The sequence below is a fragment of the Homo sapiens genome, chromosome 3 (genome assembly GCF_000001405.40).
Source record: "Homo sapiens chromosome 3, GRCh38.p14 Primary Assembly".
Classification (NCBI taxonomy): domain Eukaryota; kingdom Metazoa; phylum Chordata; class Mammalia; order Primates; family Hominidae; genus Homo; species Homo sapiens.
In genome coordinates this window covers 73,180,400-73,200,812 of record NC_000003.12, presented here as the reverse complement: position 1 = coordinate 73,200,812, position 20,413 = coordinate 73,180,400, and the positions used below count along the sequence as shown (strand labels likewise).

The 20,413-nt window shown below is 41.2% G+C and overlaps 1 long non-coding RNA gene and 1 pseudogene across 1 annotated transcript in view, besides 1 other annotated feature; one reads left to right on the top strand and one right to left on the bottom strand.

The window, feature by feature from the left end:
* The window catches only part of LOC107986098 (uncharacterized), a 222,236-nt gene that overhangs the window by 116,657 nt on the left and 85,166 nt on the right, over positions 1–20,413 (bottom strand). The window lies entirely within an intron of this gene.
* Positions 8,441–8,735: an enhancer, noted in NCBI's record as "tiled region #9383; K562 Activating non-DNase unmatched - State 13:Ctcf". NCBI's record gives its function as "activates a minimal TATA promoter and a strong SV40 promoter by Sharpr-MPRA in K562 cells {active_cell/tissue: K562}" and the evidence as "EXISTENCE:reporter gene assay evidence [ECO:0000049][PMID:27701403]".
* Positions 17,457–18,944, top strand: GPATCH11P1 (GPATCH11 pseudogene 1; annotated as a pseudogene).

Sequence of the window (20,413 nt, the reverse complement as noted above, 5' to 3'; positions counted from 1 at the left end):
CTCATTTTAAAAGTTCTTTTTTTTTAATGGTGGCAATAAATGTTTTTTAGTGCTGGGACTATATTCACTAGAGTGGCCACATGGCCACATTCAGCCCTTGCTAAGGATGCTTAATGAAGTGACGCTGGTTTAGCTACAATATTCTGTGCTGTTTCAACAATTTCATAGTTAAGAGAACTAACTCTCAAGGTATGAAGACAATGCAGGGGAGGGAGGAGCCATTTTACCCAGTGTGTGAGGCACCCCAGGGGTTTTTTAAGTATGATGCCAACTCTTTCTTTCCCATGAAGTACTAAGTGGCATGGAACTTTAACTGGGGCATAAAAACAAATTAACAGAAGTAATGTATGAAATAAGCTTTTGCCAGTATCCAATTATAGCATCAAGTTATGCTTAAAAGTTGATTGATGTATTTTAACATCAAATAGCACGGAGTTTCAGGACTATGTGTGTTACAGAGTCTCATCCATCCATCAACCCTAAAATTTAAGACCAACCACTAAGATAATAAGGAATTTGCTGCTGTCTCTCTTGCTTGAGAAGACCAGGTTGCCACTCAGGAAGTGCAAAGCCAGATCAGGTTTTTTCTATTAACCAATTATCTTATGAAGAAATGCCACTGTTGAAAGTTCTTTCTCATCAATGCCGACACCATCAAGTCAAGCAGCATTGTTAAAATCATTATAATTGCGTGTGAAACATCTCATGTTTCCAAGTCGCCACAGCTCCTGGGAGCATTTAGCAGTTGGGTTTTGAAGAAAAATAGAAAAGGAGGTATCGGGGGAAAAAAGGTGAAAATTCTATTAAAAAACTATTGTTTGGATAGCAGTTGATGACATAAATACACACACACATACATAATGTATATATGTATGTATGTGTATATGAAATATTTTAGGTTTCTATTTGCCACAACTAAGTCTCCACATTAATGTGACTATAATGCAATAGATTAAAAACAAAGATAATGCATTGAGGTTGAAAAACAAAGCTAAATCTTGAAAATCAAATTGCATCCAAAATTAAACAAATATGCCCAATATTGAAGAAATGGAAGTATTGCAGGTTGATGAATAATTAAACAACTCAAAATCAAACCAATGGTGGGGGGGAAGCTGCTTTAAAAAATATCAGAGACTTAAGGGCATAAATCATGATTTATAACCTATCCCAACTTTGACCTCATAGAAAGCAGGAAAGATCAAAGGTGATGTTTCATTATGTATTTATTGCTTGGCCAAACCATTTTTCATCGGTCTTCATTTTGAAAGATCTATATGGAGTATGTACAAATTCTTATACATAGAACCGTTGCAGGGAAATTTTTATGTACAGAATTTACCATGAAATCTGCAGATAATAGTACAATATGCCTAATTTGTAATTTCCCTGTCTCTTTCTAGATGTATAGCATTGCAGCTTTATAGCCAAAAGATGCAAGCTGCAATGTATCATGGGAAGATGGCTAACAGTTCAAATACAGTCACTGTAATTCCGCAGAGACCTTATTCTTTAATGCTGTAATGAGGATATCACTAAATGACAACCACTGCCACCATTAGCACACATATCCACACATGTGCAAGCTAGAAAATCCCATTTAGAAAGATTGCCATGTTATATCTAAAACGAGGTCAGGTATAAAAGATTTGAGGTGTGATTGCTTTTTTAATTGGGAATGCTTCAATCAAATTAGAGAATACGCTTTTCTACGCCTTTCTGTGGGGAAAAGACTAGATGACATCACTAGTTTGCCTCTAACTCCAGAATACGATAATCTGTTAACTAAGCACTGAAAGCAGTACTGACCCCAAAGGTAGTTTTGAAATACTTAAGACACCCCTAGTTACCTTGACTGGTGTTATAACAGTCCCAAAATCTATTTTAACGCATTTTAACATTTTTAGAAGATGGCACACCAAGTTAGCGTGCCTGTGTATTTGAGGAAGAAAGGAAAGAGAAAGTCACTCGGAAAACATAAGCTATATCTTGCAATGCAGGCAGGTCTAAAGAGGAGCTGGAAATTCTGAACTAGCACCAAAAGGGCATGACCTAGACCACCCCCCACCATTGTGGCACAGCACGCCCAAATTACCAGTTTATTTTCCCCCATGCCTCAAAGCAGCCACAGCCCATGGACAGATCATCTCTGGTTATGAACATCTTCATCAGTTTACCTAGTAGGAAAATGTTGGTACAGTAAAATTTTCCTAAATGATGTTCATTGGAAGAGATGTTAATGAGTATTGTGTTTTCCAAGGTCCAATTAGGTTAGTAAATTCTGAGTTAAACAAAGCTCAACAGGGTTTATTATCTTAAGGCTTTTCGGATCCTCTAATACACTATATGCTGTGAGTCCCTGGAGGGAGATAATCTCCTGTAGCTTTCTCCAGGTAGATGCAACCACAGGTATTTTTGTTTGCCTCTTCTTTGCAGAATGTCTCACATGACTGGAGTTCTCAGGAAAACACCCTGGGGAATGATAGAATGATGGAGAGTCATTGGATCTACGAAGACTAGGATACAGCTCCCAACACTTTCCAGCCATGTGCACCCTTGAGCAAGTGACTCTCCCAGAACCTTGTGAAATGGGATATCTGGGGAGGGTGAGCAGTGACCATAACCAGCTCCTCTGGAAGCAGGTTTTGTTGATATTGAACCAGGTTCCTTCTGCTGCATGTAGCAAGCCAGCCACTATGACAACAGGTTGGGTTTTTTGTCGTTGTTATTGTTGTTTGAGATGGAGTCTTGCTCTGTCGCCAGGCTGGAGTGCAGTGGCGCAATCTTGGCTCACTGCAACCTCTGCCTCCCGGGTTCAAGTGATTCTCCTGCCTCAGCCTCCCAAGTAGCTGGGACTGCAGGCACGTGCCACCACACCCAGCTAATTTTTGTATTTTTAGTAGAGACAGGGTTTCACCGTGTTGGCCAGAATGGTCTCAATCTCTTGACCTCGTGATCCGCCCACCTCGACCTACCAAAGTGCTGATATTACAGGCATGAGCCACCATGCCCGGCTGACAACAGGTTTTACAAAAAAGAAAGAGTTGATTCATGAGGCAGCCAAGAAAGGACGTGGGAAAACAGGTGTCAAATCTGCCTCCCTGAAGATGGAGTTTTAGGGATATTTATGAGATAGAGGCTCAAGGCAGGCCAAGGTGTGGGGAAAGATGATTGGGCATAAGAAAGAGTGAGATACTGGGTGACCTGCACAAGGTAGTCGAGATTCATGGATCTTCATAGAACACATGTTCAGAAAACAGCGGCATTAGCATGATCTTAGGGAGGAGTTTTCAGCTTTCTGATGCCAAAAAATCACCTCGCAGCCAACTGTGCAGGGCCTAGTTGAAGGACTGTGGTTTCAACCAGTTTGAACTGGGTAAGAGCTGTCCCCTAGTTCCTAAAAAACAACTTTAAGCAGCTGTTACCATGGTGACCTATCTGTCAGAGATGTTCTCTCTAAGGAGCTAGTGGATTGCTTAGCGACGTGATGTTTAACTATACAGGTTTCAAGATCAACTAGAGGTGGGCAATTAAAAGCAAGCAAGGCAGGTTTCTTTTGGCAGCTTCATCGGGTTAGCCCTCAGCTTCATAATGGCACAGTGGTTGCTATCCCAGGCCTTGGGGTCCGACCCACCTGAATTAAAACTCAGCTGTCTTGAGCCCAGGAGGTGGAGGTTGCAGTGAGCCGAGATTCCACCACTGCACTCCAGCCTGGGTGACAGAGTGAGACTCCATCTCAAAAGTAAAAATAAAAAATAAAAATAAAACCCAGCTGTGCTACTTTTCCAGCTGTGTGAACTTTTGTATTGCAGCTCCTTGGGCCACAGATGAGTCAGTTCATCTATAAACCAACTTAAATGAGATGATGCTCTTAGCCAAGTGTCAATAAACAGCAGTTACTCTCAGACCCTACCCAGAGAGACCAGAATAATAATTAACAAGGAGCCATCTTTCATGGAGCATGTGGTGAGTACTTGTCCCCTGGTGGCTGCTCAGCTTCCATGTCCCCTTCCCAACAGTGGCCTGATTCCCTCCAGGGAATCACCTCTTCGTGTGCAGTCTTAGTGGGATGGTTATTACAGAGACTCATGCCCATTATGGAATCCGAATCACAAAGCTCCTTCTTCCCATATCCATGTCCACTGGTACAGACAGAGGAGCCATGTGACTCAAGCTCAGCCTCTAGGATTCTCTCTGCTGGGACTCTGAGTTTTGGGGGTCACCATGCTGGAAGATGAGGTTAGAGTCAGCCATGTGGGGGGTAGCAGGAGCATCCCTATTCCCAGGGGGCTTCCAGGCTTTCTACCTACTCCCAAGTCTGCAGCTGTAGTATCCGGTTTATTTACTAAGCCCCCTAAATCCATCCGATCAATTAACCTTATAAACATGAACAATATTTGTTATCAATAGCACACAGAGGAGCAGAGACATAAGTCTGGAATAATTTAGGTCTGGTCCTTGCTGGAATCCAAGGAGGAGGATGAGAAGAAGAGGAATAGACATTCCTAGAAGTGAAGAATAAACTGAACAGCAGCCTCATGTATGGTTCTCACTGGGGTGTGTCCTTCATGATCCTACCTGAAAACCAGAAACTTCTCTATATTTGAAACAGGAAATTTAAAGCAGGGAATTGGCCACCCAATGGAGAAAGAGTTAAGAGGCCACCAGGGGCCACTGAGGCAGTCCAGAGATGAGCAACAGCAGGACGCCATCACAGCCTAGAGGTTAAAGAAACAGGTGGGGGGCCAGGCGCGGTGGCTCATGCCTGTAATCCCAGCACTTTTGGAGGCCAAGGCAGGCAGATCACGAGGTCAGGAGATCAAGACCATCCTGGCTAACATGGAGAAACCCTGTCTCTACTAAAAACACAAAAAACTTGCCAGGCGTGGTGGCAGGCACCTATAGTCCCAGCTACTCAGGAGGCTGAGGCAGGAGAATGGCATGAACCCGGGAGGCAGAGCTTGCAGTGAGCCGAGATGACACCACTGCACTGCAGCCTGGGCGACAGAGTGAGACTCTGTCTCAAAAAAAAAAGAAAAAAGAAAAAGAAACAGGTGGGAGCTAAACAATGACAACGCATGGACACACAGAGGGAAACAACACACACTGGTGCCTTTCACAGGGTGGGGAGTGGGAGGAAGGAGAGAATCAAGAAAAATAACCAATGGGTACTAGGCTTAATACCTGAATGAGGAAATAATCTGTACAACAAGCACCATGATACAAGTTTACCTATGTCACAAACCTGCACTTGTACCCCTGAACTTAAAAGTTAAAAAATAATTAAAATCCCAAGAAAGTTAGCTACAGTTCTTTGTCAACCATCTTAATTCTAAGTTAGTATAAATAATCTAGTTGTATGGGAATAGTCCACACTGTGGACTACTTGGAGGGGAGGAAGAAAGAGAGGGGTGGGTTGAAAAACTACCTCTTTGGTACTATGCTTGTGACCTGAGTACAATATACCCATGTAACGAATCAGCACACGTACCCTCTGTATCTAAAATAAAAGTTAAAAAATTTTTTTTTAATTTTCTAGCCTGGCATGGTGGCTCACGCCTGTAATCCCAGCACTTTGGAAGGCCGAGACAGGTGGATCAACTGAGGTCAGAAGTTCGAGACCAGCCTGGCCAACATGGTGAAACCCCACCTCTACTAAAAATACAAAATTAGCCAGGCATGGTGGCACGCACCTATAGTCCCAGCCACCTGGGAGGCTGAGGCAGGAGAATCACTGGGACCCAGGAGGCAGAGGTTGCAGTGAGCCAAGATCATACCACTGCACTCCAGCCTGGGCAACAGAGCGAGACCCTATCTAAAAAAAAAAAAAAAAAAAAAAAAAAAAAATTAATTCAAGATGGAGTAGAAACTTAAATATTAGACCTAAAACCATAAAAATCCTAGAAGAAAACCTAGGCAATACCATTCAGGACATAGGCATGGGCAAGGACTTCATGACTAAAACACCAACAGCAATGGCAACAAAAGCCAAAACAGACAAATGGGATCTAATTAAACTAAAGAGCTTCTGCACGGCAAAAGAAACTACCATCAGAATGAACAGGCAGCCTACAGAATGGGAGAAAATTTCTGCAATCTACCCATCTGACAAAGGGCTAATAACCAGAATCTACAAATAACTTAAACAAATTTACAAGAAAAAAACAAACAACCCTATCAAAAGGTGGGCAAAGGATATGAACAGACACTTCTCAAAAGAAGACATTTATGCAGCCAACAGACATGTGAAAAAGTGCTCATCATCACTGGCCATCAGAGACATGCAAATCAAAACCACAATGAGATAGCATCTTACACCAGTTAGAATGAAGATCATTAAAAAGTCAGGAAACAACAGATGCTGGAGAGGATGTGGAGAAATAGGAACATTTTGACACTGTTGGTGGGAGTATAAACTAGTTCAACCACTGTGAAAGACAGTGTGGTGATTCCTCAAGGATCTAGAGCTAGAAATACCATTTGACCCAGCAATCCCATTACTGGGTATATACCCAAAGGATCATAAATCATGCTGCTATAAAGACACATGCACACGTATGTTTATTTCGGCACTATTCACAATAGCAAAGACTTGGAACCAACCCAGATGTCCATCAATGATAGACTGGATTAAGAAAATGTGGCACATATACGCTATGGAATACTATGCAGCCATAAAAAAGGATGAGTTCATGTCCTTTGCAGGAACATGGATGAAGCTGGAAACCATCATTCTGAGCAAACTATTGCAAGGACAGAAAACCAAACACCACATGTTCTCACTCGTAGGTGGGAATTGAACAATGAGAACACTTGGTCACAGGGTGGGGAACATCACACACTGGGGCCTGTCGTGGGGTGGGGGGATGGGGGAGGGATAGCACTGGGAGAAACACCTAATGTAAATGATGGGTTGATGGGTGCAGCGGGCCAGCATGGCACATGTATACTTCTGTAACGAGCCTGCACTTGTGCATATGTACCCTAGAACTTAAAGTATAATAATAAAAAAAAGAAAAAATTTTTAAAAAAGAAATAGAAGAAGTGTGATATGGTTTGAATGTTTGCCATCTCCAAATCTCCTGTTGAAATGTGATTCCCAATGCTGGAGTTGGGGCCTGGTGAAAAGTGTTTGGGTCATGGGGGCAGATCCCTCATGAATGGCTTGGTGCCCTCCTCATAGTAATAAATTCACATGAGATCTGGTTGTTAGAAAAGAACCTGGGATATCCCCTCTCTTGCCCCACCTCTCACCGTGTGATGCACCAGCTCCCCCTTCACCTCCTGCCATTACCGGAAGCTTCCTGAGGCCCTCACCAGAAGCAGATGCCAGCACTGTGCTTCTTGTACAGCCTGCAGAACAGTGAGTCAAATAAACCTCTTTTCTTTATAAATTACCCAGTCTCAGATGTTCTTTTACAGCAACACAAAATGAACTAACTCAGGGTGGCTTTATCTAAGCCCGGGACCTGGGGCCACCAGCATAAGCTAGAACCATCACATGCCTTCAGGCATACAATGGAGACAGAGCTGCTGCCAGAAACACTGCCCAAGGCAGAAAGGTAGGGCTAGTGGGGAAGATTCCCTTGTTTATTCCTGCCCCCTGGCCTCTAACCTCCTACCCCTGCATCCCATTGGCCCAACCCAGACAGGTGATAAAAGAACCTGAGAAACACAGCCTGCGAGGGTCAATCCCCTCTTCCTTGAGCACAGTAGTAGAGCAACAAAGAACGGATCAGAGGCAAATAGGCCCTGGACTGGCAAACAACCCCTCACACATGAAGTACGTGATGCCTAATAGGCTTTGGTTTGTATTATTCAGGGTTCCTTGGGAACCTCCTGGCCTAATCATGTTTTATCTTTCATGTGAAACAAAGCACTTGCAGTCACCTACCTCCTACTCCCCAAGTCCCATTTGTTTCTCCCTAAAAATCCTGCAAGAAACATTTTATTTGCCCCTCTTCCAGATGTTCTGTAGACTTATTAGTCTCAGAGGCTCCCAATGCTCCTAATTTCAGTAAGGATTCTATCCCACACTGAAAATGGAAGACACTTGCTGTATTTATTGTTTCTATGGTAAAAATAAAATCTCTAAGAAGTGAGCACTAGCAAAATAAGGATGAATGCCTGGGTCTTTTCGGTCTTATCACACAAAGGACATATTTTATAGGGGCTGTCTTTGTATGTAATTAGGATTCCCTCAACCAAATTTAATACTAATTTTTCCTCCAGGGGAATTTCTGATGAGATTGTCCAGCAAAGGGGCCATCTCCTAATGGGATTAGCTGATCAAGATTGTCTCCTGATACATGGTGCCATTCAGCAGCCATTTTAGAAAAAAATCGCAACTGGGGGAGGGGGGATAAGTACAGCTGATGAAAAACAAAAAAAAAGCAAAGACCGAAACAACTTGCTGGCATGGCTCGAAGAGCTGGGTTGGCGCTATTTCTGCCTCAGGTAGCAAGGGGGAGGGCTGGTATATTTAAGCACCTTGGTAAAGAGATCCAATCTTGATACCGACAATTTACCTTTGCTCTATACTAGAGTTATAGGGCATTCTGACCACAGTGAGACACCTGGGGGTTGGGAGTGAGCATGACAGTGATTGAGACAAATTCACCCCCTCTGGTGGGCGACTTAGAGCTCCTATTTTCATGGGGGTAGAGCAATGGCTCATACACTCAGACTGGACTACATCCTCCAAAAGACTGCATTTCCAAAGAATCCTAACCCTGGCCCAGATTCTGTTCTTGAGGACCTCTCATTGGAGAAAAGTGGTGGGAAAAGAGAGTCTTGAAATGGGCTAGAAATAGCTCAAAACATCTGAAGCCAAAGCAATCCTTTCAATAGAGATTACTGAGGGCCAGGCAGGGTATATGATCCTGGAAATAAAAAACGACAATAAAACTACAGTACCTAGGAGTTGGTCTCCTTTTCATAATCACCATACACTGGCAACTAAAGAATGTTAATGAAAAAATTATCCGTAAAACAAAAACAACAAAAAACTTTCATTGGTGCAAGTCTAAATAATCGTGGTTACTCTGTTCAGTTTCAATAATACATATATGTAAGCTTCAAATTAGCATGGCTTTCCAATTTATCCTTTAATAAACATCATATTCTACATGAAAGTAAATTCTGAGAATGTATTATAGTCATCTCTGAACACACAGGGACTCAACTGCTCGTGTTGGTATCAAAAGTAAGTTCCCAGGCTGGGTACAGTGGCTCATGGCTGTAATCCCAACACTTTGGGAGGCCAAGGAGGGCAGATCAATTGAGTTCAGGAGTTCAAGACCAGCCTGGCCAATATGGCGAGACTCAGTCTCTACTAAATATACAAAAATTAGCCAGGCATGGTGGCGCACACCTGTATTCCAGCTATTTGTGAGGCTGAGGCACGAGAATTGCTTGAACCTAGGAAGTGGAGGTTGTAATGAGCCAAGATCTCGCCACTGCATTCCAGCTGGGTGAAACAGCAAGACTCTGTCTCAAAAAAAAAAAAAAAAAAAAAAATTCCAAATAGTTTGAGCTTGCTGTGGTCACAGTTCCTATTTCCAATCCCCAGAGGACAACATATTTCTGTGTTTACACAGAAGCTCCAGAATAAAGACAAAGACAACACAGTGGTTCTAAAACCAACAAACAGAATTCCAGTTCATTCAATTGTGTCATTTAGTGTGATCAATTGGAGTGTTTATGTTTAAATTTTTTCAAGTGCAAAGACGTTTGAAACCCCCTAAAATCCATCCTGAATAAACAAAGATATGGGCAATGTTGTGAATTCTAGAACGTGCGGTGAAACACTATTTTTAGGAATCACTGTCAAATTTAGCCTTATATTTAAGACTTTCCCCAGTATTTGTATATCTGTTGCTGTGTATGAAAGAAATGTTTTAAAATTAAAATTAATAACTGTTGTGTGACCAATCATGAGCAAGGATAGCTTGACAAAACTGGCTACCATCTGCTAAACCTGCATATGTGAAGATCCACTTTATTAAAGTAATTGACAGACTGGCAGAAGCTTTAAAAAAAAACTATATTACTACAATAGAATATCTGTATAAAGATTCTCCCCATTTAAAAAAACACATTAATATAATCAAGTTTTAGTTCACTACTTTTTTTCCATTTTGGTGCAGTAACATTTATTTTTTAATAGCATGACCATACATAAAGTTGATAAAAGAAAATATAGACTGAGTGTCCTTTTTGTCCATTACTATCCTTTGTTTCATTTCATAATTGTTCCTGAAAATAATTTTGTCATATAAAGAAGGGAGGGGTCAAATATAGGAGGTCTCTCCTACAGGTAAATCTTTATTGAAGAGGAAAATCATCTTGTTTATTCCCCTTCATCGTCAGCCTCCAAACAACCAAAACAAGAGTTGAAATTCTTGATTTTATTTTCCTTAAGAAATTCTGTCCTAAATTTGACTAAAATAAAATTCGAGTCTGACAGGTTTTTCTGTTTGTTTGTTTGTTTGTTTGTTTGTTTGTTTTTTGAGACGGAGTCTAGCTCTGTCACCCAGGCTAGAGTGCAGTGGCGCAATCTCAACTCACTGAAACCTCCGCCTCCCGGGTTCAAGCAATTCTCCTGCCTCAGCCTCCTGAATTGCTGGGATTACAGGCAACCACCACCAAGCCCAGCTAATTTTTCGTATTTTTTTAGTAGAGATGGGGTTTCACCACCTTGGCCAGGCTGGTCTTGAACTCCTGACCTCGTGATCCACCCCCTCCACTGCCTCCCAAAGTGCTGGGATTACAGGCATGAGCCATCGTGCCCGGCCAGGGTCTGACAGGTTTCGAGGGTCACTTAGTGGAGCTTACACTGGGATGCCATTACACTAGGGTGTCCACCTACTCTCTTCTAGGATGGGCTTCCCAGACTCCAAGCCAGATTTCCACCTTCCCTTTGCCTGAAGATTTATCCTCTTTCTATATAAGAAATACAGCAGGTCCCATTTCACCAGCTCTCATCCCATGACCAGTCTCACCCCAAACAAATGGAGTATTTCCACAACCTACACCGTCTTGTCTGCTTCCTGGCTCAGTCAGACAACAGTTCCTAAGTAAGACTTCTTGTGGTTGTAACAAGAAGTTCTTCACTGTCTGAGTCCTCCAAGAGCTTTGTTCAAGATGTCAAACTAGAGCCCTAGGCATCACTGAACATAGACAAAGCCTCCGGGATGGACCTAAAGTCTGGGATGCCTTGAGCATGAGAGACTGGGTTGGTAGGACCTTGAGAATAACTGCATTAGAACTTGGACCTCTTGAGATTCCATGGGAGTCTTTTCATTGCACTGACGCTCCTGGCAGAATAAACCTCTTCTGTTCTATGAGGTCACTCAACCAGCAGACATCTTAATGCCATTTTCTAAAGCTCCTTCAATTTTGGGGAGGACATTTTGTTAATTCACTGACTTTAGCATCCAGGCGACCAGGGGTGGAATCCCAGCTCCGCCACACTAAGGCAAATTCCTTAACCCTCTGAGCCTCAGCGTCTCACTTGTCAAATCATGATGCCCCCATTGACCTCAAAAAGAGATGCAAGGATTATGTGAGTAAATATATTTATTCACCCCAGCACCTGGCACGCTGGAAGTGTTCAAAAAGTGGTGGATATACGCCACTGCTATTATTTGAACAAAAATTGCCACCAAAAGAAGACAGATGGACTGCATAGGTTAAAGATTACTCATGTGACAGAGGATGTCAAATAAATGTCATTAACTAAAAGAAAGCATGTGGTGGCTATTGGCATGGCAAATATCAAATTACAGCAGTCACAACAGAGAGAAAAATCCACATCACTAGTGTGTCACATGGGTATGGATGGATGAGAGTCCCTTGGGAAGGTTTGCTTTCATCCAGACAGGGCCAGCTGAGAAAAGATGTGGTGGGGGAGAAGAAGCAGGAGAAGGAGGAGGAAAGAGGAGGAAAAAGAAGAGGAGAGGGAGAGGGGGAGGAGGAGGAAGAAGGAGGGGGAGAAGGAAAAAGAGGAAAGAGGAGAAGGGGGAGGAAAGAGAAGAAAAAAGGGGGAGGGAAGAGAGAGGGAGAGAGAGGAGGGTGAGGAGATGATTTATTATACTAGTCCCAAATTGGATCTCATAAAACTTCCAAGAGGGTGGGGAGAGAGAACCAAGTAGGAAAGGAGTCAGCAACAGAATTGTTATAAGGCCTTGGACGCATCTCTAAGAACTCCACAGTTCTTTCTCCTCTTAAGAGGTACTCCAAAAGAAAGGCAAAGTGTGGCTATATAGATCAGATGTTGTCAAAAACGTTCTAACAGGGAGTGCTGTAAAATGCAAGCTCTTGAATAAAATCTAAGTTTGGAAGATTAAGAGTCAACTATGCCAAAATATTAACTGAATTATCTGAGGGAAGTAGAACTGAGCAATGTTCATTTTCTCCTTTGTATTTTCTTAATCTTTTAAGAATTAAAACTGCGTTACTTTTTGAATCAAAATGGAAACCTTAATTTTTGACCTCATAAGTTCAATATAGGAATTATGTATGACATCAGTGGTCCCCTTGGGTTAGATATGGTGGGAAAAATAGGACAACTTCATAGATTCTGGAATTGAAGTAGAAAAAAAAATGTTCTGGTTTTGCAATCAGCTTGTTTGAAAATAAATGAGGCACTATAGAACATTGAGAATTTTTAAATGGGGGTAGGGTACAGAGGGGAGCAAAGTACAGGGCAAAGGAAATGCTTTATGCTATTGGAAATAGATGCTAAGTCCCAAATAAATCGTTAAACTTTATCTTTAATCAAATATCATTGTAAACACAGGCCCCAAATCTTACAAGAAGCAGCCTACAAATTATGTTTTTGGAGCTGGGAACACAATCTTTCTTCAAATCTAGGCCCTAGAGTCTTTAGGCCCCCTACCTCAATTCAAGCCAGAGCTATGAAAAAGGTAGAGATACAGTTAGGTACTCAATGTATGAGTCACGTTTTGCAAACAGTTGTCATTCCATTTCTAGAATGATCTCTGGGATACTATAATATAAAGACTCTGAACACACTGGATGGCCAAGAAGAGGGAAAAACATGCTTCTACATATAAGCAGACTTTAATATTTCAAATTTGGGCCCACCTGATTAGGGGGTGGGAAAAATTAAATACTTTTACATAGTAGAAAAACAATAAAAGAAAAAGAAGAGGGGCAATGCCAAGGGGAACATTTAATCTACCAAAAGAAACCAGTGTTTTCAAAATGTGTTTCCTTGTGTGTGGTAGTTATCAAAGATCCCTGGACTCTACCCAAAACTGCTGAATCACTATCACAGAGCAAAGCCCCCAAATCTGCATTTTACCTCATTTTCAGGACGTTTTTGGCACGTTCTAGTTTGAAAATCTCTGCTTAGGAAATTATTAAGAGTGAGATATTTCGGTAACTCATTCGAGATCTACCAAACAGCTCTTCATTTTCTTATGTGAAGTAGTGAAACCACTATCTTTCCGAGACTATTTTCTGATTGGCCTTTTGCTAATCAGACATAGGCCAGTATAAATGAGCAAGAAGTGAGTTTCTAAAACCAAGTGAATTCCCTAAAGCCATACACACATCTTAAGAATCTTCAATACTCCTGGTATACTGTAGCTACTTGCCTTGAGCCATATATTCCTCTCTGGGTATCTTCCTAAATTCAAGAACCTTTTATGATGAGGAATTAAATGTCTCCAGTGAACAGAGAGAAATTAATTAGCACCCACCAAATGAACAACTATTTCATTCCCTGCATGAATGTATATTTTGCTTTTGACACAGCCTGAAAAACACGGAGAAAATCTCTGTAAGAATTAGTTATGCTCTATGGTTTCTGGTGGAGCTGCAGAGACTCCCCCTTGGGCTGTTATTTGCAGTATTTACTTTTTTTTTTTTTAACTGAATTATCAAGTGAAAATCCAATTGTTCCTAATGGTGCTCACTCTGTGTGTTTCCCATTCTCATATATGAGAAAGGGTTTATTATCCATTTGTAGTAATTAAGACACTGATGTTATATAGATCCATAAAAATCCTTCATTAAGCCAGTAAAGAGCTTTTCATCAAAATCATGGTAGCTAAATATTTATTTAAAAATAAAAACCAAATTAAAATGAAGGGCCCCCCCCCCAAAAAAAAAGCAACAAAAAATTGCTATGAGACTATTTTGAAAGTTGTTGTGGGTATCCTGAGCAGTTTCAAAGCATGTAACTATATTTTCTTACAAAGTAGGAAACAACCCTAACTGGCAATCCATCATGGCTGGCTATAAAGAAATGAAGTAATTAACCATAAGGAAATAATTCAGCAAGATGCTAACAGTTTAATAACATTTGAGTATTTGCATTTAAGCCTTATTGTTTTTAAATGATTTCATAATTGTTTTAGATTTGCAAAAGGTGCTAACACGTAAACAAAATAAAAAGCAACACAAGATTTTGTGTTAGATATGGTCAGTTGAATGTGTTATTAGATACAGGAATAAGGTTTGTATTGTCCTCATGGAATTTGGAATACAGCCCTTGGCAACACAGGTCTGTACAGAAAAAACTCCTCAGCCTTTAGAAGCTTATACACCTCCCCAGCCAGGGGAAAAAGGAGGAAACTAAACAAATCTTTCTCATGCAGAGAAAAACCTCATGTTGTTATCTTCCTTCCTATTACAAGGGAAGTTCATCTAGAGAGCCACAGCTGAGAAAGGAAAACATGTTGATTGGAATACGTAAGAACCCCCTTCTGTGTACCACTTGGGGATAAAGATTTTATTAGAAAGAACTTTCTTCATCTTTGAAGCACCTGAAAAAATTACAGCCAAGAAGAAAGCTGTAGTTGTCCATTATCAAAACCTTCTGTCCACAGTGGAAGCTTTCTGCATTTCCATCACCAACCATGGGGAGAAACTAGGGCTACTCCTATTTTCCATCAAACACCAGAACAGTGTTTCTCTCACAGGACTCCAGGGATAGATTCTAAAGTTTCTATGAGTCTTCTACATTTTATTTAAATATCCTGCCTTAATTTCTATGATAGCTTAAAAAATATCTGAAGGACTAAGTATTACCATAGGGCCATAGGGCCCTCCCTCCTTTGCAATTGCATTTATGAACATATTGGCACCAATGAACATAGCTTCAATCAATGAGGGTTAATGAGAAGAATAATAATGGTAGACTTTAGATTAAAAATTATATTGGTGGCTGGGCACGGTGGCTCATGCCTGTAATCCCAGCACTTTGGGAGGCCGAGGCGGGTGGATCACGAGGTCAGGAGATCAAGACTCTCCTGGCTAACACAGTGAAACCCCGTCTCTACTAAAAATACAAAAACAAAATTAGCGGGGCGTGGTGGTGGGTGCCTGTAGTCCCAGCTACTCAGGAGGCTGAGGCAGGAGAATGGCGTGAACCCGGGAGGCAGAGCTTGCAGTGAGCCAAGATTGTGCCACTGCACTCCAGCCTGGGTGACAGAGCAAGACCTCGTCACAAAAAACAAACAAAAAAAATTATATTGGTGCAAAGTAAAAGCCAACAAAACCTGCTGCATGCCCTAGGAACAACCATTTTGTAATTTTCTGGTAGCTTTTGTAGAGAGACATACTAAGAGAAGTGAGTTATCCTCCAGCTTATGGAGTTTAGATACAACAAACTGAAAAACAACTAGCACCAAAGCAGTCAGGGCCACCCTTGTATTGTGAGCAGCAATTTAATTTCAGCAAAATAACTCCATCCTTAACTTTCAGTTAACATTGTAACTTGGAATTTCAGTGGTTCTTATTTATATGCAGTTTGTAAACGTGTGTTGACTTTACGGTTGTGCTGTGATAGCAGATGTGAGTGAAGATCTAAAGTGGGGTTTCTCAACCTCAACACTACTGACATCTGGGCTGGATAACTGTCTGATGTAGGGGACTGTTCTGTGCATTGCAGGATTTAGTAGCATCCCTGCCCTCTACTCACTAGATGCCAGTAGCAAACATCCCCAAACCACCTCTAGTTGTGACCATCAACAGGGTCTCTACATGAACAGACACTTCGCAAAAGATGACATACATGTGGCCAACAAGCACGTGAAAAAATGTTCAATATCACAATCATTAGAGAAATGCAAATCAAAACCACAGTGAGATACTAGCTCGCACCAGTCAGAATGGTTAGTATTAAAAAGTCAAAAAATAATAGACGCTGGCAAGGTTTTGGAAAAAAAGGAATGCTTATACACTACTGGTGGGAATGTAAATTAGTTCGACCACTGTGGAAAGCAGTTTGGTGATTTCTCAAAGAACTCAAAGCAGAATTACCATTCGATTCAGCAATCCCATTATTGGTTATATACTGAAAGGAATATAAATCATTTTACCATAAAGACAATTGCACTCATATGATCATTGCAGCACTGTTCACAATAGCAAAGATATGGAATCAACTTGGGTGCCCATCAATAGTAGACTAGATAAAGAAAATGTGGTACATATACACCATGGAACACCATGCAGTCATAAAAAAGAGCAAGATTATGCCCTTTGCAGCAACACAGGTGGAGCTGGAAGTCATTATACTAAGTGAACTAACAGGAATAGAAAACGAAATACCACATGTTCTCACTCATAAGTGGGAGCTAAACACTGAGTGCATATGGACACAAAGAAGGGAACAGCAGACACCAGGGACTACTTGAGGTGGAGGGTAGAAGACGGGAGAGGACCAAAAAACTACCTATAGGATAATATTCTTATTACATCAGTGACAAAATGATCTGTATACCAAACCCATGCAACATGTAGTTTACCTGCCCATGTACCCCTGAACTTAAAATAAAATTTAAAACCAACAAAACAAAATAGTGTCTCTAGATACTACCAAATGTTTCCCGGAGGGTAAAATTGTCCCCAGTTTAAAACCACTGACCTAAAATATGTGTTGGGGTCCAGGCAGGAAAGAGATAACATACTCAGGTTGAATAATTTAAGGAGAATTTAAAATAGATACTAGTTATAAAAGTGTAGGGAGGGTATAAGGAAAGATAATTACCAAAGTCCTAAAGGAGCAAAATAAGGGTGAAGCATGTTGGGGGTCAAGGGAGAGACAGAGAGGGAAGGAGGAGAAGGGGGGTGCAGAGATGGAGATAGGGGCACAGATCCTATTGAGAGGACATCCTATTAGAAGCTGAGACCTGCAGGTAAGAGGTAAAGTGATACATTAATGCCCTGACTTCACAGTCTGGGCTCCCCATGAGCTGAACCCAATCAGGTGCCAAAAGACAAGGGAGCGCACTGATAAGGTTCAGACAGGTCAGCCTCCCAGGGCATAGAGCAGAGTGGAGGGAGGGAACATAGTGTAGGTTAGAGGAGCAAACAGAAAACATCCACCACACCTAGTTCTCCAATTTTGAGAATTTAAGAAACGATTAAAAATGGTAGGCAGCCGAGGCCCTGAAGTCCATCGCCGGTCGGTGCACGCTTGTGCAGCACGCACTCCCCGGAGCTGAACCAGGGTGAGTAGAGAGCTGTCAGATGCTATAGCCATATGAAGTTGAACATGGCAGAAGAAGAGGACTAACGTCTGATTCCTTCATTAATGTCCAAGAAGATATCAGACCAGGCTTGCCAATGCTAAGGCAAATCCGGGAAGCCCGTGGAAAAGAAGAAAAGCAACAGGAAGCTAACTTGAAACATAGGCAGAAGAGTTTAAAAGAAGAAGAACAAAAAAGACGTAACATTGGGTTGAAGAATGCACTAGGCTATGAAAACAAAGGGTTTGCCTTGCTCCAAAAGATGGGCTATAAAAGTGGTCAGGCACTTGGCAAGGGTAGGGGTGGTATTGTTGAACCCATTCCTCTCAATATCAAAACAGGGAAAAGTGGCATTTGGTCATAAGGCATCATTAAAACGGAAAGCAGAGGAAAAATTAGAAAGCTACGGAAAAAAGATTCACATGATGAATAACCAAGCTGAAGAAAAAGCTGCAGACCAGTTTCGAATGCGACTTAAAAATAAGCAAGATGAAATGAAGCTAGAAGGAGATCACAGAAGAAGCCAGCAAGTCTGTCAACAATTGGACACCCAGAAAAATATTCAGGTTCCCAGGGAAGCATGGTACTGGTTGAGGCTTGAAAAGGAGACTGAAGATGAAGAAGAAAAAGAACAGGATGAAGATGAATATAAGAGTGAAGATTTAAGTGTACTGGAAAAATTACAAATATTGACTAGTTATTTAAGAGAAGAACTTCTGTATAGTATTTGGTGTGGAACAGCCTATGAAGATAAAGAAGACCTATCTTCAAATTGTCCAGGACCAACTTCGCAGATCATGACTAAGATTATTCCCAATAAACTGGAAACTTGAAAAATGTTATTATTTCCTAGGGATAGACAATTCAGCAGTTAGAAATCCCAAATTTTTTATGCCAGTAAAGAAAGAGGGACTTTATATAATGTTTTGTTCTTTTTGTACTTTAGAATGTGAGAGTTCACTGACTTGAAAAAAATAATGCAATGCCATTTCAGAACACAAGTGTCATAGAGATGGACAGTTACAGTTTATTGCTGTATTGTGATAGGTGAGGGGTTTAAGGACACCAACAGGTAACTCTCTTACTCCCCTCTTCACTTTGGAACAAATTGAGAAATAAGAAACAGGAGTCAGAGGAAGAGAAAAATATCCACTTTATCAGTGAATAAGCTGAAATAGAGAAGGTTGAATTTTTCTCCAATCAGACACTGTAATATTTCTCCCTGATTGGAGAGAACTGCGGGCCTCTGCCTTCTTGGGGCAGAGCTCATCTTTGCATTCTGAGACCAGTTAGCTTTCAAGGTCCACCAAGGGCTGGACCACACATGCTCAGTTCCTTCTTGTATCACCCATGGGATGAGACAGTTCTTTGTTGGGAAGGAATGAATGAGGGTTCAGAGAGCTTTTTCCTACACTTCTCGCTTTGGAGGAGCAAGGAGAAGTTCCCTTCCCTCCATCCAAGCATGAAGAGGAGGGGAAACGTATTCCCCGCAATAAGACTCATGTCAGAGGCAATGTTCCACCAGTACTACTAAATTCTAATCCATTTTACAGACAAAATAACTGTGATAATTTCTGGTAAAATCATGAGTTTTCATGACAATGTCTACATCCATTAAATGTGATCTATTGGAAGTTTTGGCTTTAGAAACTTAAGAATTGTGAGGAAACTCAAATATCATGTGATCCAAGTACTTACTGAATTTGGAAACCCCTTGATAGCATTCCCAGTGAGTGGTAATTCAACCTTTGCTTTTATTCTTCCCTCCACAGAGAGCTCACTGCTTTAAAACCATTCCAGGCCGGGCGCGGTGGCTCACACCTATAATCCCAGCACTTTTGGAGGCAGAGGCGGGCGGATCATGAGGTCAAGAGATTGAGACCATCCTGGCCAACATGATGAAACCCCATCTCTACTAAAAATACAAAAATTAGCTGGGCATGGTGGCGCATGCCTGTTGTCCCAGCTACTAGGGAGGCTGAGGCAGGAGAATTGCTTGAACCCGGGAAAGCAGGTTGCAGTGAGCCGAGATCGTGCCACTGCACTCCAGCCTGGCAACAAAGCAAGACTCCATTTCAAAAAAAAAAAAAAAAAAAAATCCATTATTACTGGGTAGCCCTAAATTATTTTCATTGTTTTCTCTTAAACTGGCATCTGCTTCCCTGTAATTTTACTGAATACAGCTAAGGACATACCATGTGGCATACTATGAGAGAGCTCCATCCAGGGTGAGGCATCAAAATCATGAACCTTTTTAAAAGTTCATATGCTCAGATGTCTCTCTTAGTGACTGATTTTGATTTATCTAGTCTAAAGCAGTTCCTGGATATCTATATCTGTATTTATTTTGAAGTCCCAAGAATGAATGACAAGCACCTGAGGATAAGAACTAGTGCTGAGATTAAGTATGGTGCATCACTAGTCTTTGGATAGAGTTGTGATCACCTGTGTCATTTTATAGCCCACCTTTTAGTTGCATTGAGCAAGAGATCAACCTCTTTTTTTATTAGAAACAGCATACATAAGAAAATCACAAAAACTAACCTGTACTTGCTAGGGTAAGATAATCAGTAGTAAAACTTGTATTAATCTCTGACCTAATATGAGCTAATTCACTTTTCAAGTTTAACTTAGGGGTCTTTACAAAATAATAATAAAAGGATCCCACCCCAAGAGATTCTGATGCCACTGGTCACTATGACTTGGGCATCAGTGGCCTTGATTCTAAAATGCAGCCTAGCTTGAGCCACTAATCTAGTTAACTTCTGGGCCTCAGTTCTTCATCCAGAAAACTAATCATTATTTTTATGAATGTAAATATATATATATATATATGTGTGTGTGTATATATATATATGTGTGTGTGTGTATATATATATATATATCTAAGTTTATATGGTTGGATG